The sequence below is a fragment of the Homo sapiens genome, chromosome 4, assembly GCF_000001405.40.
Source record: "Homo sapiens chromosome 4, GRCh38.p14 Primary Assembly".
Taxonomy (NCBI): Eukaryota; Metazoa; Chordata; class Mammalia; order Primates; family Hominidae; genus Homo; species Homo sapiens.
Window position 1 is genome coordinate 185,506,303 of NC_000004.12, and position 18,099 is coordinate 185,524,401.

An 18,099-nucleotide genomic window follows, 5' to 3' on the forward strand; every position below is an offset into this window, starting at 1 on the left:
TTTTGTGACTTCACTTGGTGGCTACTTGGACATGTCCTGGAATCTCCTTTTTTAAACGAGGCACCATCCATATCCTATCCTTCTGAGCAAAAATTCATTTGGCTCCCAATGAAAACCAAGTTTTAGACTTTCATTCCCAGTATGTTTGCTGTCGTCCCCGTCCCGCCCCCTGCAGTGGCCTCTATCAATACGTTTCAGCAGGTGTCAGCGGCTGCTCACCAGAGCCATCGTCCACCATTCCCTGGAGCACTCTGAAGGAGCCCGACTGGCGAGGCTGTGTGGGCTCATTCCGATTGTCGTGGAGCATCCGGTACACGTCCGACTCGGGGGGCACCGAGGCTGTGGGCTCGCTGAAACACAGGCACGGCGGGGAGCATCGTCAGGTGCTGGGAGGCACCAGACGTGCAAGAGGCCAGAGACATCAATACTCAGCCATTACTCTATGCACAGCCACTCCTGAACAGAGGTCTAGTATTTTCAAGTGAATCTCTAGTATAGTTAAAAGCATAATGTGAATTCAAATGGCTGCCTTGGAAATGTCATTGAACAACAAATCGGGGAGTCACACCCACACTCCTCCACTTGGCAAAATACTTTGGAAGGAAACTAAAAGATAATTGTCAGGAAATAGTAATTAAGAAGAACAAGACTTGAGTCTGATGGATACATAATGATAGATGTGAACAAAATTAACTTTTCCCAGAGAAAAGGCAATATACACATGACAGAAAGTGCAGCAGTGAGCACTCAGATTATTCTCAGTCATCAAATTGTCGGTAAAATTCACATTCACTTTTGATATTAAACAAAAAGTATATGGTTTAATATGTTTTTAGTTTTAAGGCTAATTTGTTAACCCCTGGAAATAACAAGGGTATCATTTTACTTGTAAATTCTAGAAATTTAACCTCTCAGGGTTTGAAAGCCTGTAATGTAGAAACTTACATTTTTATATCTGCTATAACTGACTGCACTGTCTTTTAAAAATAGCCATGTTAAAATTCATTTACAATAATGACAGCAGCTTTAACATGCTTTCTACAAATATATTCATAATAGACAATAAAGAATTTCATAATACTATATGTTAAGCACTACTTTATTATTTTATATCATTTTATTGCATTATCTAGAAAACATACTATCTGTAATATTTTTATTCCCTATGTCATATTTGCAAATGGCTTTGAGATATCTTACACTACTATTAGTTCAATGTGTTCATCCCAAGAGATAGCTTTGGGATATCACTATTTAACACTCTGAAGCATTATAATAATTTAATTTATAAATAGTGATTCTGTAATAGTGAAAGAAGCAGTAAGATTTTATCCTATAATAAATCTTTTTAATCAAAATCTTTATGGCAAAAGTACTGTGAACAAATAGTTATAACAAAGAAAAAATTAGTCAAAAAGAGACCAGCAAAAATTAAATATCTACATTAACAGCCTGAGGGTATTCACCTAAAAACCTTTATGCACAATAAACATTGTAAATGAGTAAATAATGACCTCTCCACAAGCTGCTATCAGAAGAGAGAAGAATCATCTCATAAAATTCCTCTAAACCTCCCACCTCCTTCCTAATTTTTGATCCCCAAAGGACAGACATAGGGTATACTAGATTATAAATAACTTTGAGAAGTATTACACCAGATATTTGTAAAGTACATTGTAGCTTTCGAGAGACATATACATTTGGTCCTTACCTGATTTCATTTTATTGCTATCTGACACATAAAGCTCTACAGATAATTCCTCAAATCACCTTTATCACCAAGCCTAGATATTTGCAATAAATCCTTAGTATTTTAAAAAAGCTTTTCACATAGCTTTCTTTCCAAGCCTAGATATTTGCAGTAAATCCTTAGTATTTTAAAAAAGCTTTTCACATAGCTTTCTTTCCATTAAGACAATGTTAAAAGACACCAGTAAAGCTGACATTGCCCACGTGTTTAGTTAATATGCCCATGGTTCAAAGAGACTCATATTACCTCATCAAAGGTGTTTCCCCTAGGGCTGTTGAAACCTGACCCTGGAGTGTTTCCATAATATTGTCATCTGAGTACAACTGCATAGGTGTATTAAACTGAGCATGTACAATCTTCACACCAGGAAGTTCCATTTCCAAAGGAATGTTAGGGGCCAGCTTAGCCGCAACTTTCAAGTCACCTGGGCAAATGGTACTAACAGTACTGACAGAAGAAGGGGTGCTGCGTCCACTGCCACAGTCAATCCCGGAGGGAGTGCTGCATCCACTGTGTTAATGGATACACGTTACACAGAGATGGCACCGGGAGCCAGACAGTCCAGACAGAAGAACACAGAGAACACGTACAGAGAGGTTAAAAGGAATTGAAGACAAAAGTGAGAGGTGAATTACATCAAAATAAAACCAAATCTTGATTTGTCACTAGAATTTATTTATAAAGGGAAGACGGTGAAAAATTCATGATTGAAAAAAGTTTAATAAAATTAAAAGGTACAGGTGATACTGCATTTTTTGGCTCTGTTTCACTAGGCAATGTGTAATTTGAGGGTTACATGTAGAAAAGTTGTATATGAAGTAGAAAAGATGCAGCTATCCTCACTTTTTAAAAATAGGCCAAAGACTTTAAAACTGGTCAATATCACAAGTGATGAAGGAAAATTACATTGGCTGGACATCCTTTTACATTTCTGAAGTGCAACATTTAAAATTAAAGTTTTAGTGAACACTGAATATGCAGCATGAAGATGCAATCACATATTTGGGCTCAACATTTCAAAATCAGAAGTATATTTCAGTAATACGGTTGAACTTTAATTGAATAGTAATTGGTAACTTGTAGGTTTTATGGTACAGATTATGTTTTAAGGCTATCTTGTAAATATTTTGTTACTATTTTAACATTTTCTATTTTTACTCTTTAGTTCTGTGAGGAGTATACTTTAAGACAATTGTTCAGTGGTTTAATACAAGCCCTAGAAAAAACCAATAAATGCTTATCACCTTGAAATTAATGATTAGAGGAGAAATAAGGTGGTGTTTCACTCTTTCGATGCTTATATTTCTTACATAGCTATTTTATGCACAATTTCAGAAGCACGCATCTATTCCCAGGCATATTTCCCTTTTCCTTTTAAAGATACATTTCAGGGACTTATTAAAACATCAAAGGCCAGTCATGCACATCGAAGAACTAGGGAGATTGTACATTCTATTTGGAAACTGGATAGGGGTCAGTTAACAACTGACATGCTAGTGACTAAAAAGTCCATTTTTCCACATGCATGAGAGATACCAAGAGATTTTTGTAAAAAAAGCATAGTCATTTAAGACAAAGCAAAAAGAAATATTAGTATTAATGTAAATATTTATCATACTTTCCAGTTAGTGTTGCTGTAAGCTCAAGACAGAGAATGGATGTATATGGTGTGTTTACCGCTAAGTCAAGATTGTCTCTGGTCTCAAGTATGGCCCCATATCTGCATTTACTCTCTAGAGGTATTAATGCTAACTTCAGCCCATATAAAGATAAGAAACCAAAAGGTATTGAGCAGTAACTTTCTCTACTCCAGCAATGTTGCAGCCGGATTAGTCTGGAGAACTCATGTCACTAAATGGGTTTAAATTTTTTTTTTTTTGTCTTGTGCTATCCAGTTTAACTACCTACATAACCTAAACCAGACAGGTGAATACCAGCTTGCTCCTTCACTTCCTGCCTTTTGAGAACCTATTGAAAACCCAATCTGTACATTGTTTAGATCACATACCAAAATATCAAGTGGCCTATTCACCATTTTTGTACGATCTATAGTGACTCTTGAAATGGACTTCAGCTGGTAAAAGAATATGAGTACATTTTCAGTTGTAGTGCAGTTTAGTCAGGATCATGTGGATTTAACCTGAGTGTAATGAAGCTTATGAAATCAGTTTAGGGATTTGAAACACAGAGTTAAATCCTGGGAGACTTCGGCCTCCCAGTAATGAACCTACTCAACAAGCATTTATAACTACTCTCACCCTACTGTGTGCCAGACATAGTGCCCGTACTGGGTAGATAAACAATGATCAATTTAGAACTTTTACTTATGCCATGTTTTATAGCGGTTATTAGTAATATTTTTCTGCTATAAAAGCCATGTATAACTTTTGACTCCTCCAAAACTTAACTACCAATAGCCTACTGTTGAACCGAAGTTTTACAGATAAACAGTCTATTAGCACACAAATAGACTACTACCTATGTGTATTGTATACATTCATGGCAAATCTTTTTCTTAATTTTTTTGATATTTCAAGGCTACCATTAGTGACTTTTTTCAAATTGTCGCAAATCTCCAAAAATTTTTCCAACATATTTATTGGAAAAAAAATCCACATATAAGTGAACTTGCACAGTTCAAACCCGTGTTCTCAGGGTCAACAGTATATGCATATGTGTGTACTATGTAATTTTAGTTAAACATGCATTCCCAGTTCCTTTATCAATCAGGCCCATGTCTATTAAATAAATGAGTAATGAACCCTAAGCAAACAAGAATGAACTTTTATAAATTTCTGGGCCAATTTAAAAAGATCTTTTAAACTGATCCTTTAAGTAAACGAGTTTTCATGGATTCCAGTCACTGTGGATATCACTGGGGATAGCACCGTGGGTCACCACGACCTGTTCCTGATGACCTGGAAAGGCAGGTGCTAATGAGATTTTCTGGGGTTGACTTAGTGACTTGGCAAGGCCACTTGTAAGGTTGATAACACACTCAATTACTTCATGCCCAGATACGTCATTTGACAGATTGCTAATTTCTCTGGGGTGTGTACAGACATTTTGGGGCATACTTCCGGAAGCAACTTGTCCAAAAACCACTCATAGGATTGCATTTTATCATTTGGATCTAAAATACCTTACATATGTATTTAATTGTAGCTTTACCCTTAAAAATTTTACATATTTGTATATGAAAACACCAGTCTTTTAAAAGGCTTCAGTTATGATGAAATAATCAAAAGAACTATAGCTAATGGTAAAACCCCAGGGAAATTGAGCTGTTAACAATTTAGCATGTCCAACTTACTACTTTTTTTTTTTTTTGAGACAGTCTCACTCTGTTACCCATCTGGAGTGCAGTGGTGCAATCTTGGCTCACCGCAACCTCTGCCTCCAGCTTCAAGTGATTCTCATGCCTCAGCCTCCTGAATAGCTGCAATTACAGGCATGTGCCACCATGCCCAGCTAATTTTTCTATTTTTAGTAGAGATGGGGTTTCATCACGTTGGCCAGGCTGGTCTCAAACTCCTGATCTCAGGTGATCTGCTCACCTGGGCCTCCCAAAGTTCTGGGACTACAAGTGTGAGCCGCCATGTCCAGCACTAGCATGTCCAACTTACTTTTGATTAAAGAAGTTCATTAACAGTGTAGTTACAGGGTGACTATAGTTAACAACAATTATTTGTATATTTCAAAATAACTAGAGGAGTGGATGTGGAATGTTCCAAAGCACAAAGAAAGTTACTGCTCGAGGTGATGGATACCCCCAATTACCCTGATTTGATCATTACATATTGTATGCATATATCAAAACAGCACACGTACCCCATAAACATGTACAAGTAGAATGCACCCGAAAAAAACTACATTTGTTTTAAAAGTTAAAAACAAATCTAGTTGTAGGCTGGTATGCAGCCACTCACAATTCCACCTTGATGAAGAATAGTTTGGTGGGAACAAAAAATTCAGAAGTTATAGCAAATAGTGAGGAGGGACAGGAAGAGAAGGAGGATGTTGGGGGCACTCTTATAATTCTTTTTTTTTTTTTTTTTTTGAGATGGAGTCTCACGCTTGTTGCAGTGGCATGATCTCAGCTCACTACAACCTCCGCCTCCCAGGCTCAGGCGATTCTCCTGCCTCAGCCTCCCCAGTAGCTGGGATTACAGGTGCCCGCCACCATGCCCAGCTAATTTTTTGTATTTTTGGTAGACATGGGGTTACACCATGTTGGCCAGGATGGTCTCGAACTCCTGACCTTGTGATTCGCCCACCTCTGTCTCCCAAAGTGCTGGGATTACAGGTGTGAGCCATCGCACCAGGCCTTATAATTCTTTAAGATTTGTGCACTGGCATCTGTTTTTTAAGCAAACCTTCTCATTTCTGTTTCTCTCCTTCTCTCTTCCAAATTCAGCTACATTAAAAGGTGTGATCTTCAAATGACAACATTATGAGTGGCTTGCCATTATCCCTATGTTTAAGTTAAAATGAAAAATTTTTTTAAAAGGTGATTATATACCTAGGATTCTCTGACTTTCCTGACTTTTTATAAAATTAAATGTTATAGGTTTTTAGTAAAGGCAGGATATGTGTTACTCTAACGTATCACTTTATTCAAGCCTTCTGAAGCCCCAGAGCTTGTGTGGGTGGACTCAGTCACACTAACCTGAAAAGAATGCAAGTGATTAATTTTACTATGCTTCTTTGGGAAGTTGTATATATTCAACAGTAAAATATCATATCCTTTTAACTTTAAATCCAGTGTTTTGTTATTGGGGTTGGGTTGGGGTGGGGAAGCTGTTGAAAGTGGAGAAACGGAAAAGATGCAGATGAGAACAGAGTATGAACGAGGGAACACATAGAGAGAAGCAGGAGAGGACACAGAGCTGCCAGCATCGGGAGCGAGACGGCTCTGGACTCTTCTTGCCACTTGCTTGGGAAATGTTGTGCACCCTCAGGATTTGATTCCTTTATCCAGTGAGCATTTATTGGGCATTTATTTTGTCTGTTTGTAGATGGTCGCTTATTGAGCATTTATTCTGTCTCATTTCTAGGTGCTGGGGGTATAATGTTGAGCCAGTCAGACCAGGCCCCTGCAGACACTGAGCTCACGTTCTAGGGGGGGGAAGATGTGTTTGCTCATGGTTGCCTTCTTAACGCCTTTCTCCTGCTCCTCTGGTCCAGGGCTCCTTTCTGGATCTGATATCACAAGAATTGTCTGGCATATTTTGAGACAATCACCTGGCTCTGCCTGTAGCTTCCTGAAAGGTCTGGACATGGAAATCATACATAAGGGATGACCTGCTATCCGCAGCTTATGACAGGAGTCATAAGCTCGGGTGTCTAGAGGGGCCAGGAGGTCACACATGTATGAAAATGGGCCGTGTCTCACACACTTAAGAGTGATGTGCATTTTGACAAGATGGTGAGTTTAAATGTTCTGTCTAAAGGCACTTAAATTCTTTTTTTTTTTTTAAACAAAAGAATTAAATAAAACATGCCTGTGAAATAAATCCACCTATGGGCCATCAGTTTGCAACAGCTGCGGTAAATCATATTCAATGTTCCTGTCGGAATCAATCCGGTCTAACCACCAGCTTCCTTCCTGTGGGCTGACTGGCTTAGCTGAGGTCAGAAGGATGGAACAGAGGTTTCCTGAAGTCACTGTTTCCTGATTTGGCAATACAGGGCATTATTTTCTTTCCCCTTAGGTTGGAGTTCAATTTCTAGAGAAGATATTTGAAAAGGATGATCTGAAGATGATCAGTTTCTCTACTGAGAGACGAGAAGGAAGAGCTTGCTCCTTATCATTCTGGCTTGTTCACCTGATTCCTTCCTCCTAACCGGGGCTGGTTTCCATGCTCGCTCCTGCTGGCAGGGCTTTCCTGACCTGGGATAGACATACTGACTGCCCGACTCAAAGGTCACAGTGTTCTGGATGGGATCCCCAGAGCCTCAGGGGTGTTCGCTATAAATACACGTGGTGATTGCATACAATTTCACAGCTCTGTCATCTTGTCAATATTTACTCTTGGAAATGCAAGTTATTTGGCTTCTGTTCTCTGCCAAGTGAGTTTGTTTCTTTTTGCTTTTGAAATAAGCTTCGCAATGAGAAAAGCCACTCCAAACATCTACCAGTTACTTTTCTTGATGATTAGTAAGAACTGATTTAAGAAGCATGCACTGCAAACTCCACAGTCTCAGCGCTTATGACCTGCTTCGGCCCGGGATCACGAAAGGTTTGGGCCGAATATTATGCTTGTGTTCAAAGTAGTTCCCGTCCTGTGAAAACAAAGCGTTAAAAAGGCCCTCAGTGGAAGGCGGACACTGTTGCAGATAAGATTAAACGAACGATAGTTGTACAGGGAGGATCATTTACCACCAACTACTGTCATAACTAAGAAAGGCGATGACGGGACCAGGACGATGTCTTCTTTCCAACCATCTATCCGCTAAACGGTCAGGCACTGGCGGATTGGACCCCACAACAATTAGAACATGTTTTAGATGCTTGTCTTTAAAAGAGAAATCTGATAGTGCCTTCAGGAAAGTAAAAATAAAACAGCAAGAGCTGGACTTTTGAAAAGAAAAGAAACCATGCTATCACTGTTAGGTACACTGTGGCCAGAACAGAGCCGGATACTTACTTTTGAGGTGAGCTAGGAATGAGACCCCGCAGCTGTCCGTGAAGCGCATCTTGTATATTGCTAGTTGAATAGAGCCCAATTGGCGAGTTATAGGAAGCGCTCACTACCTGTCTTTTGTCATCAATGTTTGCAGCTGCAACAAAAGGCTGGGCCCTTCTGTTGTGCGCGGTACCAATGGGTTTGAATTCCTGTACAATGGCAGACAAAATACACAGCCACACAGCGCACAAGAAAGCCATTAGTGAGCGAAACCAACAGCATCACTACTGTTAATAAAGGCATCTTTACCCACGACGAGATTGACGGAAAGATTAGAGGAGGAGTTAGCCATAAACTTTTCCATGGTTTTCTCTGAGCTTTACATGTGCTATATTCACCGATCAAATGTTAAGGTGAAAAGGAACTGACCTTATTTAACATATTATAAAATAATTTAAACATTGCACCTCTTATCTGCCCCTGACTTCTTCATCTATAGCTTTAAGAAATTCTAATGACTCATTTGAATACAGACATTTTGTGTCAGAAATGGGATTTTTGGCTTGAAAAATATACTTAACGTTTTCTCAAGTAGAATTTACATATGGTTTCTCTTCTATTGATACATTGATAAACTTTCCCCCATTTTGAGACATGAGGGAACAAAACAAGGAGAATGAGCATTTACGAATAATTAGCTACACTGAATCATTTAAACTAAGCCAGGTGAAAACTCGTTTTTGAAAACACCTTTTAACAAAAAGTTCTTAACTTGGATTAAGCTATAATCTTAATTTTAGAAAACACAAGTGAGAGACTCTTTTTATGAAAGCGGGAATAACATATACAACCCCTCCCTTTATTGTAATGATTTCATGTTGTGTGTTTGAAGACCTCTTCATGTTTACTCTAGTCCCCAAAAGATTAAAGTCAGTAATTCAGAGAGAGAAAATGTGTATGGTTCACAGGAGGATTTTCACTTTATTCCTTGGGAAAAGGACCAAACAGCAGAGTCCTCAACCCTGAGTTTGAAACATGTCTGAATGATCTAAAATCCTATAATTTTTTTTTTTAACGTGGGAATCATGTTTTCCAGTTTTTGTACAGATTTATAATTTTGTAAAGCCTTTAAAACTTTTTTCTTCTAAGCAACAGAAGAAAACCAAAAGGGAATGCTCAATTACAGGTCAGCTGATTCTCTTTCCAAATCTTTTTTTTTAATATTTATTTATTTATGAGACAGAGTTTCACTCTTGTTGCCCAGGCTAGAATGCAATGGCGCAATCTCGGCTCACTCAAACCTCCGCCTCCCCGGTTCAGGTGATTCTCCTGCCTCAGTCTCCCAAGTAGCTGGGATTACAGGTGTGTGCCACCACACCCAGATAATTTTTGTATTTTTAGTAGAGACAGGGTTTCACCACGTTGGCCAGGCTGGTCTCGAACTCCTGACCTCAGGTGATCCACTTGCCTCGGCCTCCCAGAGTGCTGGGATTATAGGCATGAGCCACCGCGCCCAGTCCCAAATCTTTCTATTTGGCAGAATTAGTAAGATAAATCTTTCTAACAGTATTTTCCCTTACACATTCACATCAACTTCATTTACTTTCGTGAATGTGGCACCAGTGTTCCAGATTTGAAATCGTACAAACATATATAATTATTTGAAATAATACTGGAAAGAGATTATCGTCTTTAAAACATTAAAAGATCCTGTAATATTTAGTTTTCTCCTTTTCATTTCAGATAAGTTGTGGGTTATGCTTTTCTGTTAGAAAACAGACTGTCAAAAACAAAAAGAAGAAAAAGGAGGAGGAAAGAAAAGAGAGTGTCTCTCTTCCCTAGGTGTAAGACCAGAGTTTTTCATAGAAGATTCTTGTGCCTGAGAATATGAACAACTTCCTGTAGGGACCCCAGCTACAAAACGCTTTCTTTCAGTTCTTCTGAGTATACTCCTTCTTCTACTATCTAGGCCTATTGGCAAAGCTCACTTAAAAAAACAAAAATTATGCCAGGGCAATGGGGTACAGCTTCAAATCCTAGCCTAGGAGCCTTTGACTCCACCCACCCCAAATCTCAGGGGATCTGAGAATCTGTGATGGGGTAAAGAACAGCATTTCTCTCACCAACCTTGGACAGCATATGTTAACAGCCTCCTGAACCCAAAAAGAAGGTCTGAGTTGAATTCCATTTAGTCTATGATTTTGTAGTGTGATTGAGTTCGCTGATACCTTGTTCACTTAACTTTTTTCCTTCATAATAATGGCTCACAGCCAAGGAGTTGATTAACATTATTGTAGCTGCTCTTAGGTAGAATGACCCAAACCATCAAATGTAGCTTTAGAAAAATGCCTAATCCTAGATCCTGTGAAAATGTGTGTAGCTAAACATTTATAAATGGTGCAATCTAATTGTTTTAGCTGATTTATTAGTGAATTTGGATTGGCTGAGTTTTGTGATTAACCAGTATAATTAGCCATTATTATGGCATGAAAAACTAGAAATAATTGTAAGTAATGACAATGGCCATGATTCAAGCCTTTTTGATATGAGAGAAGACAGCACACTAATTGCCTAACTGCCTAGTTAAGTTTTGGTGGATTACAAGTCTCTCAGGCTAATTAAAGAATCAGGCAGTACTGAATCACTTAAGTTTTGTGGAGCTTAGCTTTTTTTTTTTTTTTTTTTTTTTTTTTTTAAAGAAAGTAAGGCCTGCCTTAAAGTCTTTGTAAATAGAATTGAATTAATAAAAACTAACATAATATAATGGCTTTATGGAAAATACCTCTGCCCTTATTTCTTCTTAGCCTTAAGATGATAATTAAATATAGGTAGTGTTGTCCTGTAAATAAGGCAACTTCTCTGAAAATATTTGTGCATTAATAATCTCTAGTAGAATTTCTAAATAGCAGCATGTAAGTTAATCAGCTCCAAGCAATTTCTTTGCAATTTTCGGTTTTGGTTACACATATATTGCAAAGATCACAAATGTGTAATTTGTTAAAAAAAAAAACCAACAACCTCTATTTTACATTCAGATCATAAAAGGAAGTGTTTCTAATACAGGCTGCAAACATTTTTATTTAGGCTTTGCAAAGCATTAGTTTATGGGCTTTTAGAGTCATTCCAAAAAGCACAATGAAGTGTATACACCAAAGGTTTACCAAGAAATTTAAGTGGGGCACTGAGGGGCAACATTCTATCCAAGGCTTACATCATTGTTGATGGTCAAATGTAATCAAAAGACAAAACCAATTAGAAGTCCGCTGTTCCACTTTAATTCATTTTTATTTTTCCTGGAAAAATCACAAGTAACTGAAAATGCCAGTTAAAAAAGTGTATACAACAGTTAATATAGTCCAGCTCTTGTGTTTATTCTATCTAGAAAAAACCACCCAAATAATTCTTATTTCTTAGGAATTCAATATGTAATTATTCCCTTAATGGATACATTTAAAATTTTTATTTTAAATGTTAGAGGCTTATATTAAGGAACAACATTTTGAATTAATGGAATGCTAGAGCTGCCCCAGTGAAAGCTAAGTAACTTGACAGAACTCTGCTGATGTTAAGAGGATCCAACCATGGACAGCAGTCTCCCATGTCCTTGGAATGACCTCAGACATGACAGCAGTCAAAGGCTTCACCTTTCAACTTCTTACTTGGAGACTGCTCACAGATAAAGATTCAGATAATCTTTATAATTCTGAACCATCTCCAACAGAAACAGTATGTTTGATTCATAGATATACACACATATATGTATACACATATATATTTATATATAATATGTATACATATGTGTATATAAAATCAAATCATATATATATGAAAAAATGGTGGGCATATAAGAGAAACAAACTCTATGAAGTGATCTTATATTTGATCAAGGCATGATGAAGAAATTATATTTCATCACGTTTGAAGTTTAGAATCACTTCCTCCTCATACTCACCCCTCAAATAAACAGTAAAGTCACCCTCATCATCCTTTTTTCTCCAGTGAGCAGTTTCAAGTGTTTCCCATCTCTCACTGGGAAGAGCTTGAGGAAATGGTGACTATGAAAGCTTGTTTTATATGGGCTGCCTTCCAGTTACCAAAACACTTTTTATTTGTGAAAATAAAAATGACTTTATCCCACACTCTTCTTGACTGTGTATGTAAACTCTATTATCTTCTCTGGCAAGGATGCAATCCTTTTTATGGAAATGGAGACAGCTTTCTTCTTATTTAGATAAGAACCATTTTTGTTTCTGAAAGCATCTTTCTTGTATTGTGACAGGCACAGTATACCTTTGAGTTGTTCCACTAACATTAAGCAAATATGAGGGTTATGGTTTGAGAATGTAAGCTTTGAAAAAGGACAAAGAGCTTCATTAACATACTCTTAGTCAAGAGCAACACTTCGTACTAAAAAATGGACCATTTTGTCTATTTTTGTACAGAAAAATAGAGAAAAATAGATTGTGTTCAGGATTGCATGGAAGGCATTTATTCAGGTGCTGGGAGTTGATCTAAACAACAACTAACGTGCCCTTTAAGCCTAAGATTCAAGTCTAAACTCAGAGAAACAAAACTTAGCTATTTGATGATAGCATGGAAAAATTATTATTATTATTATTTGTGAGACGGAGTCTTACTCTGTTGCCCAGGCTGGAGTGCAGTGGTGCGATCTTGGCTCACTGCAACCTCCACCTCTTGGGTTCAAGTGATTCTCCTGCCTCAGCCTCCCCAGTAGCTGGGACCACAGGCGTGTGCCACCACATCTGGCTAATTTTTTGTATTTCTAGTAGAGACAGGGTTTCACCATGTTGACCAGGCTGGTCTCAAACTCCTGACCTCAGGTGATCCACCTGCCTCGGCCTCCCAAAGTGCTGGGACTACAGGCGTGAGCCACCATGCCCGGCCACATTTTAAAAATCTAGATATTAAAATTTTATATCAACTATTCCTATAACCATATAAGAAAATGTCTCCTTAGCTTAAACCTATTCACAGGGGAAAAAAACCCCCAGAAATAAACATACTAATATTTAATATCTGTGGCTGGGCTTGGATGGTATAGTTTTTTCCCCAATAAGTAAGTGAGAAAGTGTATTTTATTCCAATGTCAAAGGTCACATAACTTACAATAAAAGTTTGACTTGGGTTGAGAAACAAAAACTCAAATTTCATATTGTTCCATGGCCTTTTGCTATTCATCTGCAATGACATCCTGAAGCATGATAATATTAATGGCATTTGTTTCTCTAACTGACACGTATTTGCTGTCCAGAAGATTGCTGTATTTGCAGAGTTGTCATTTTGATAAAAAAGAAAAAGACATCTTTTTTGCACAGCTTTGTATTACTTAGAAAAACAAAAAACCCTATAACCATAGCTTAGCTTTTCTCTCGTCTCAGTCCACAAGTGAAACTCACTGTTTGACTTTTATCAGCACGTTTTGTTCTGGTTTACGCTAAAGGATTTTTGGATAGCAGGAGATACACTGCAATTTAGTTATTTTTGTGTAGGGAATGTCTGTCCTGAAGTACCAAGTTACATAAACTGGCCGTGCAGAAATCTGGCCTAAGAGTCTCATAAGGAGTAGAAATCCTTTGGTTCATTAGTAGAACTGAATTGTTCTTATCTTGGAGCATTTCAAACACCGGCCTCTTGGAGAGGATGTCAGTAAGAATTAGTCATGACGCAAAGTCATGGAATGTTTCAAGGCTCCATCTGACTGGCTGCTATAGCCCTTAACCTAATCTCAACCTTTAAAAAAAAAACAATTTAATCTCCTTTTTCTCATTTGTAGTATTGTAAATATTCATATTTTCTAACCCCCAAATGTAGGACACAAGGGCTAATACATGCTTGACAAGAGGTCAGAGTATTTAAAATTAGGATTATGCCTTAAAATCCCATCCTTAGAATAACCATAGTCATAAATTAATACTCATAGACTTGCAATAGAAGCCTCTGCTAGAGCTACAACTTGGAAAATTACCCTTAAACTCCAATTCTGGAGAGATGTTAGCAAAACGTGGGCTCCCATCCTGGTCTAAACTCACTTTGTGCTTAGTAAATACTTGCTGAATTACTTACATGCTGGGGTGACGGATGCAACCATGATGAAGGATCACTGGGGATTTGGTACTTCGGTCAGATCTATCTAGTTGGCCTCATTTCTTGCATCTCATATTAACGAAATTGGGTTTAAAAATTAGGAGAAATTCTTGCATGGAAAAATAAGTTGCAAAGGATGCAGTGCAATATTGGATGTGTGCTGTGTAGGGAAAAGGAAATGCAGAGTCCCTTCTGGTTGGTCCAGGTAATGATAAGAGGCTGAGTGGTCAATAAGTGCATGTCTATTGACTTTAATTCTTAAAAGCACCATATAGTCTCTTTTTCTCATGTGTCACCTCCAGGTGATAAATTGATGACGGTGGGAGGAAGCAGGTCAGCCTGGGCATCTCTGCAAAAGGCTAGATACAAGTGAGAACTCTACCTCAAGAACTTTCCTTTTTTCTTCCACTATTTTCTTCTAGCAAAGAAAATGTTGACTAGAGGTGTCATTATTCACCAGCCCACCTAGTATGTCAGGGGGAGTCGCCATCAGCATTCAGATCCCTTCTCATTATATTTATTATCTGTGCCATCCATTTTCTTTTGCTCACTTACCCCAAAGAGCAAAAGTCTTACCTAGCCTAAGTATCCCACTCAACTTTCTTTTCTTTTCTTTTTTTTTTTTTTTGAGACAGGGTCTTGCTCTGTCACCCAAGCTGGAGTGCAGTGGTGCAATCACAGCTCACTGCAGCCTCGACATCCTGGGCTCAAGCACTCCTCCCACCTCAGCCTTCTGTGTAGCTGGGACTTACAGGTGTGTACCAACATGCCCTGGTTAATTTTTAAAATTTATAGAAATGGGGTCTCACCATGTTGCCCAGGCTGGTCTCAAACTCCAGGGCTCAAGCAATCTTTTTGCCTCTGCCTCCCAAAGGATTATAGGTGTGAGTCAATGCGCCTGGCCCCACTCAACTTTCAAGATTACTTTCCATGCAACAGCTGAGAGTGATGGCAGAACACCATTTTGAGAACTGGCTCCCAGGACAGGTCCTGGCAATGTTAGAAAATGCACAGCTCATTTTTAGGCCCTCCAGTTCCTTTCATCCATTTGTCAGCTATTTATTGAGCTGTGGGCTATTTATTGAGCTGGAGGGACTCAGAGGGAAGACAACAGCCTCAAGGTTCCTGCCTTCATGAACATATTCTCTGTCCTGCTCACTCCTTTTGGGGCTTATTTTCTCCTACTTTTGCTTTTAGTGGATTTTAGATTCAGACTCTACCTTCCCTTTAGTCAAAACTCTACGACAACAATCTAATAAACTCATTTCCTCTAAAGATTACATTACTCAGGATCCTTCTTCTCCAGGAGAGATTATATTTTAACTGAAAATAAAGCTTTGTTCCATTTGTCACGACCCTCGTAATAGCAATGAAGAAGGCATTCCTAGCCTCTAGGATGTCCTATCATGTAGGCAGCTAACTATCTCACCAGCAAGAAACGCCAGGAGACTTTCGGATCCCAGCCTGGGGTGGGGGTAACGTACTGATAATAAGGACAGCTACCACTTACTTGAGTATTTCTATGAATAACTCAATGTGCCAACTTCTCTGCTTGTATTATTTTATTCTAATTTTTGAGAAGCCCTAGGAGACACATGTACTGATGTTATTCAACATCTTTTCACAAAAGAAATCAGAGGCTTATGGAGACAAGTAGAAAACTTGAAGGACAAATTCAGGAGTTGATTTTCTTGAAAGGGGAAATACTGCTAAACATAAATTACAAATACGTTTTCAGTTCCCTTTCATCAGTTATATAGAACAACTACATGCTGGGAATATCTAATCAGTTTAGCAGGAACATGTGTTTCAAAAGGGATGGTAAATTCATGTATCTGTATCTCTAAACCTTTAGAGCTTCTATGTAGAGGTCATAAAATGCTTTTCTTAATTAGATTTATGAGTACATCACAATCAAGATTTGATTTAATTTCAGGTTTTTTGGGCCTTTTGAAAGTAGACATAGATAAGCATCAGATGATTAGTTTAGTTTATTACAGTTGCCTCCAGAGAAAATCCTTTATCTTTTATAATTCAGCTGTAACGGCAGAATATCACCATCATCACACTAGGCAACACTCTTTTCTTAGAGTAAATTTAATTACAGAATCCCAGAAATGAGAATTAAAGAAGAATGTAGAATGAGATCTGGGTGAAGACCTCGAAGGACTGAAATTCACAGTAACCGTAGATTGGAGACACCTGTTTCAAATGGTAGACCTTATTTTTGCTTTGCTTTGTTTTAACAACTTAAACTCCTTAGATTACCTCACGGTCATTTCACAGAAGTCCATTATAAGAAATGAAAAAATAATAAGTGGACTCTGTAGATTTAGCCAAATTCTTTCTGATGGGAGCATATTTTGTCTTTCAACAAGATGTTCACATAGGAACACTTCTTTTTCTTGATGTAAGAAAACACGGATAATATAAATTAATCTCGGAGAGGAATGACAGACAACAGCTTCATAGGTGGCTTGTTCCAATTTTTCTATTTGTCTCTTCCTCCCCTTGGAAGGCATCCCCATGATTTAAAAGGAAATACAATGTGTATCATTTGCTCTAAAACGCATACCTGTGGTTCTGATTCTAAGTTGATTTTGAAAGGATGGGCTTTCCCATCTTCAGATACTTGTGGAGACCATAAGTGAGTTTCTCCCCTGGAAATAAAATAAAATTTGTAAACTTCAAATTCTAATGGTACTTTCAGTTTTAGCATACTTTAGTTTCCCATTATGTTTGTGAAAATACTAGCAAACCTCACTAACTTATGCAAAAACAATTTTTTTTTTTGCTGATTATTCTGTATTTTCCCACATAATTAGTCTTCCCCCCCCCTTTTTTTTTCTTTTAATGTTGTCTCCCTCTGTCAACCAGGCTGGAGTGCAGTGGCAAAATCTTGACTCACTGCAACCTCCTCCTTCTGGGTCCAAGCGATTCTCCTCCCTCAGCTTCCCGAGTAGCTGGGATTACAGGTGCCCACCACCATGCCTGGCTAATTTTTGTATTTTTAGTAGAGACGGGGTTTCACCAGTTGGCCAGGCTGGTCATGAACTCTGGACCTCAAGTGATCCGCCCAGTTCGGCCTCCCAAAGCGCTAGGATTACAGGCGGGAGCCACCACACCCGGCCGAAGTCGTACATTTTTAATGTCCTTTTGGGTATGGCAGACTAGATAAAAATTGCCTGGAGTACACTGCACAGTTTCTGGAGGAAGGAGGCCTGCAAGGCATGTGGGAAACAGGAGAGGGAGACTCTGCAGGCACACTCTGCAGATGACCACCAGGCAAGCTCCCTAGACCTCCCTACTTCCCTCCAGTCCTACTGAGGCCACTGCAGAAGACAGTGAGTGATCTGCCAGGTGGATGTGTTACTGGCATCAAGGAAATGTGCTTTGTCCAACCCTTCTCATGCATCTGCCTGGGACCTAGTGGCTCCTAAGGGACTGTGTGCTCGGCATGAACACAGGTTATGCATAGAGAGTGAAAGAATCTATTTCACCCCAAGGAAACGGCAGATTGGTGGATTGATTGATCCTTCTGTACCACAGCACGGAAAACTGTGAGTACAATCATAACAGGATAAACACACACTAACAACCACTATAACAAATTAT

General features: G+C 38.5%; 1 protein-coding gene across 7 annotated transcripts in view, besides 1 other annotated feature; it reads right to left on the minus strand.

Moving 5' to 3' along the window:
- The window catches only part of PDLIM3 (PDZ and LIM domain 3), a 34,848-nt gene that overhangs the window by 5,643 nt on the left and 11,106 nt on the right, over window positions 1-18,099 (minus strand). The window contains exons 3-6 of one of the 7 annotated variants that reach the window (NM_014476.6): window positions 17,060-17,144; window positions 7,968-8,035; window positions 1,997-2,260; window positions 220-350 (exon numbers count right to left, since the gene is read on the minus strand). In NM_014476.6, the coding sequence (NP_055291.2) occupies window positions 220-350; window positions 1,997-2,260; window positions 7,968-8,035; window positions 17,060-17,144 (548 nt within the window). Of the gene's footprint in view, window positions 1-219; window positions 351-1,996; window positions 2,261-7,967; window positions 8,036-8,400; window positions 8,589-17,059; window positions 17,145-18,099 lie in introns of those variants that run through there. The other 6 variants (XM_047450072.1, XM_047450071.1, NM_001257962.2 and 3 more) reach the window with 6 other exon arrangements.
- Window positions 7,386-8,585: an enhancer, noted in NCBI's record as "BRD4-independent group 4 enhancer chr4:186434842-186436041 (GRCh37/hg19 assembly coordinates)". NCBI's record gives its function as "activates an origin of replication core promoter dependent on BRD2, P300/CBP, MED14 and CDK7 cofactors, and independent of BRD4, by STARR-seq in HCT116 cells {active_cell/tissue: HCT116}" and the evidence as "EXISTENCE:reporter gene assay evidence [ECO:0000049][PMID:35650434]".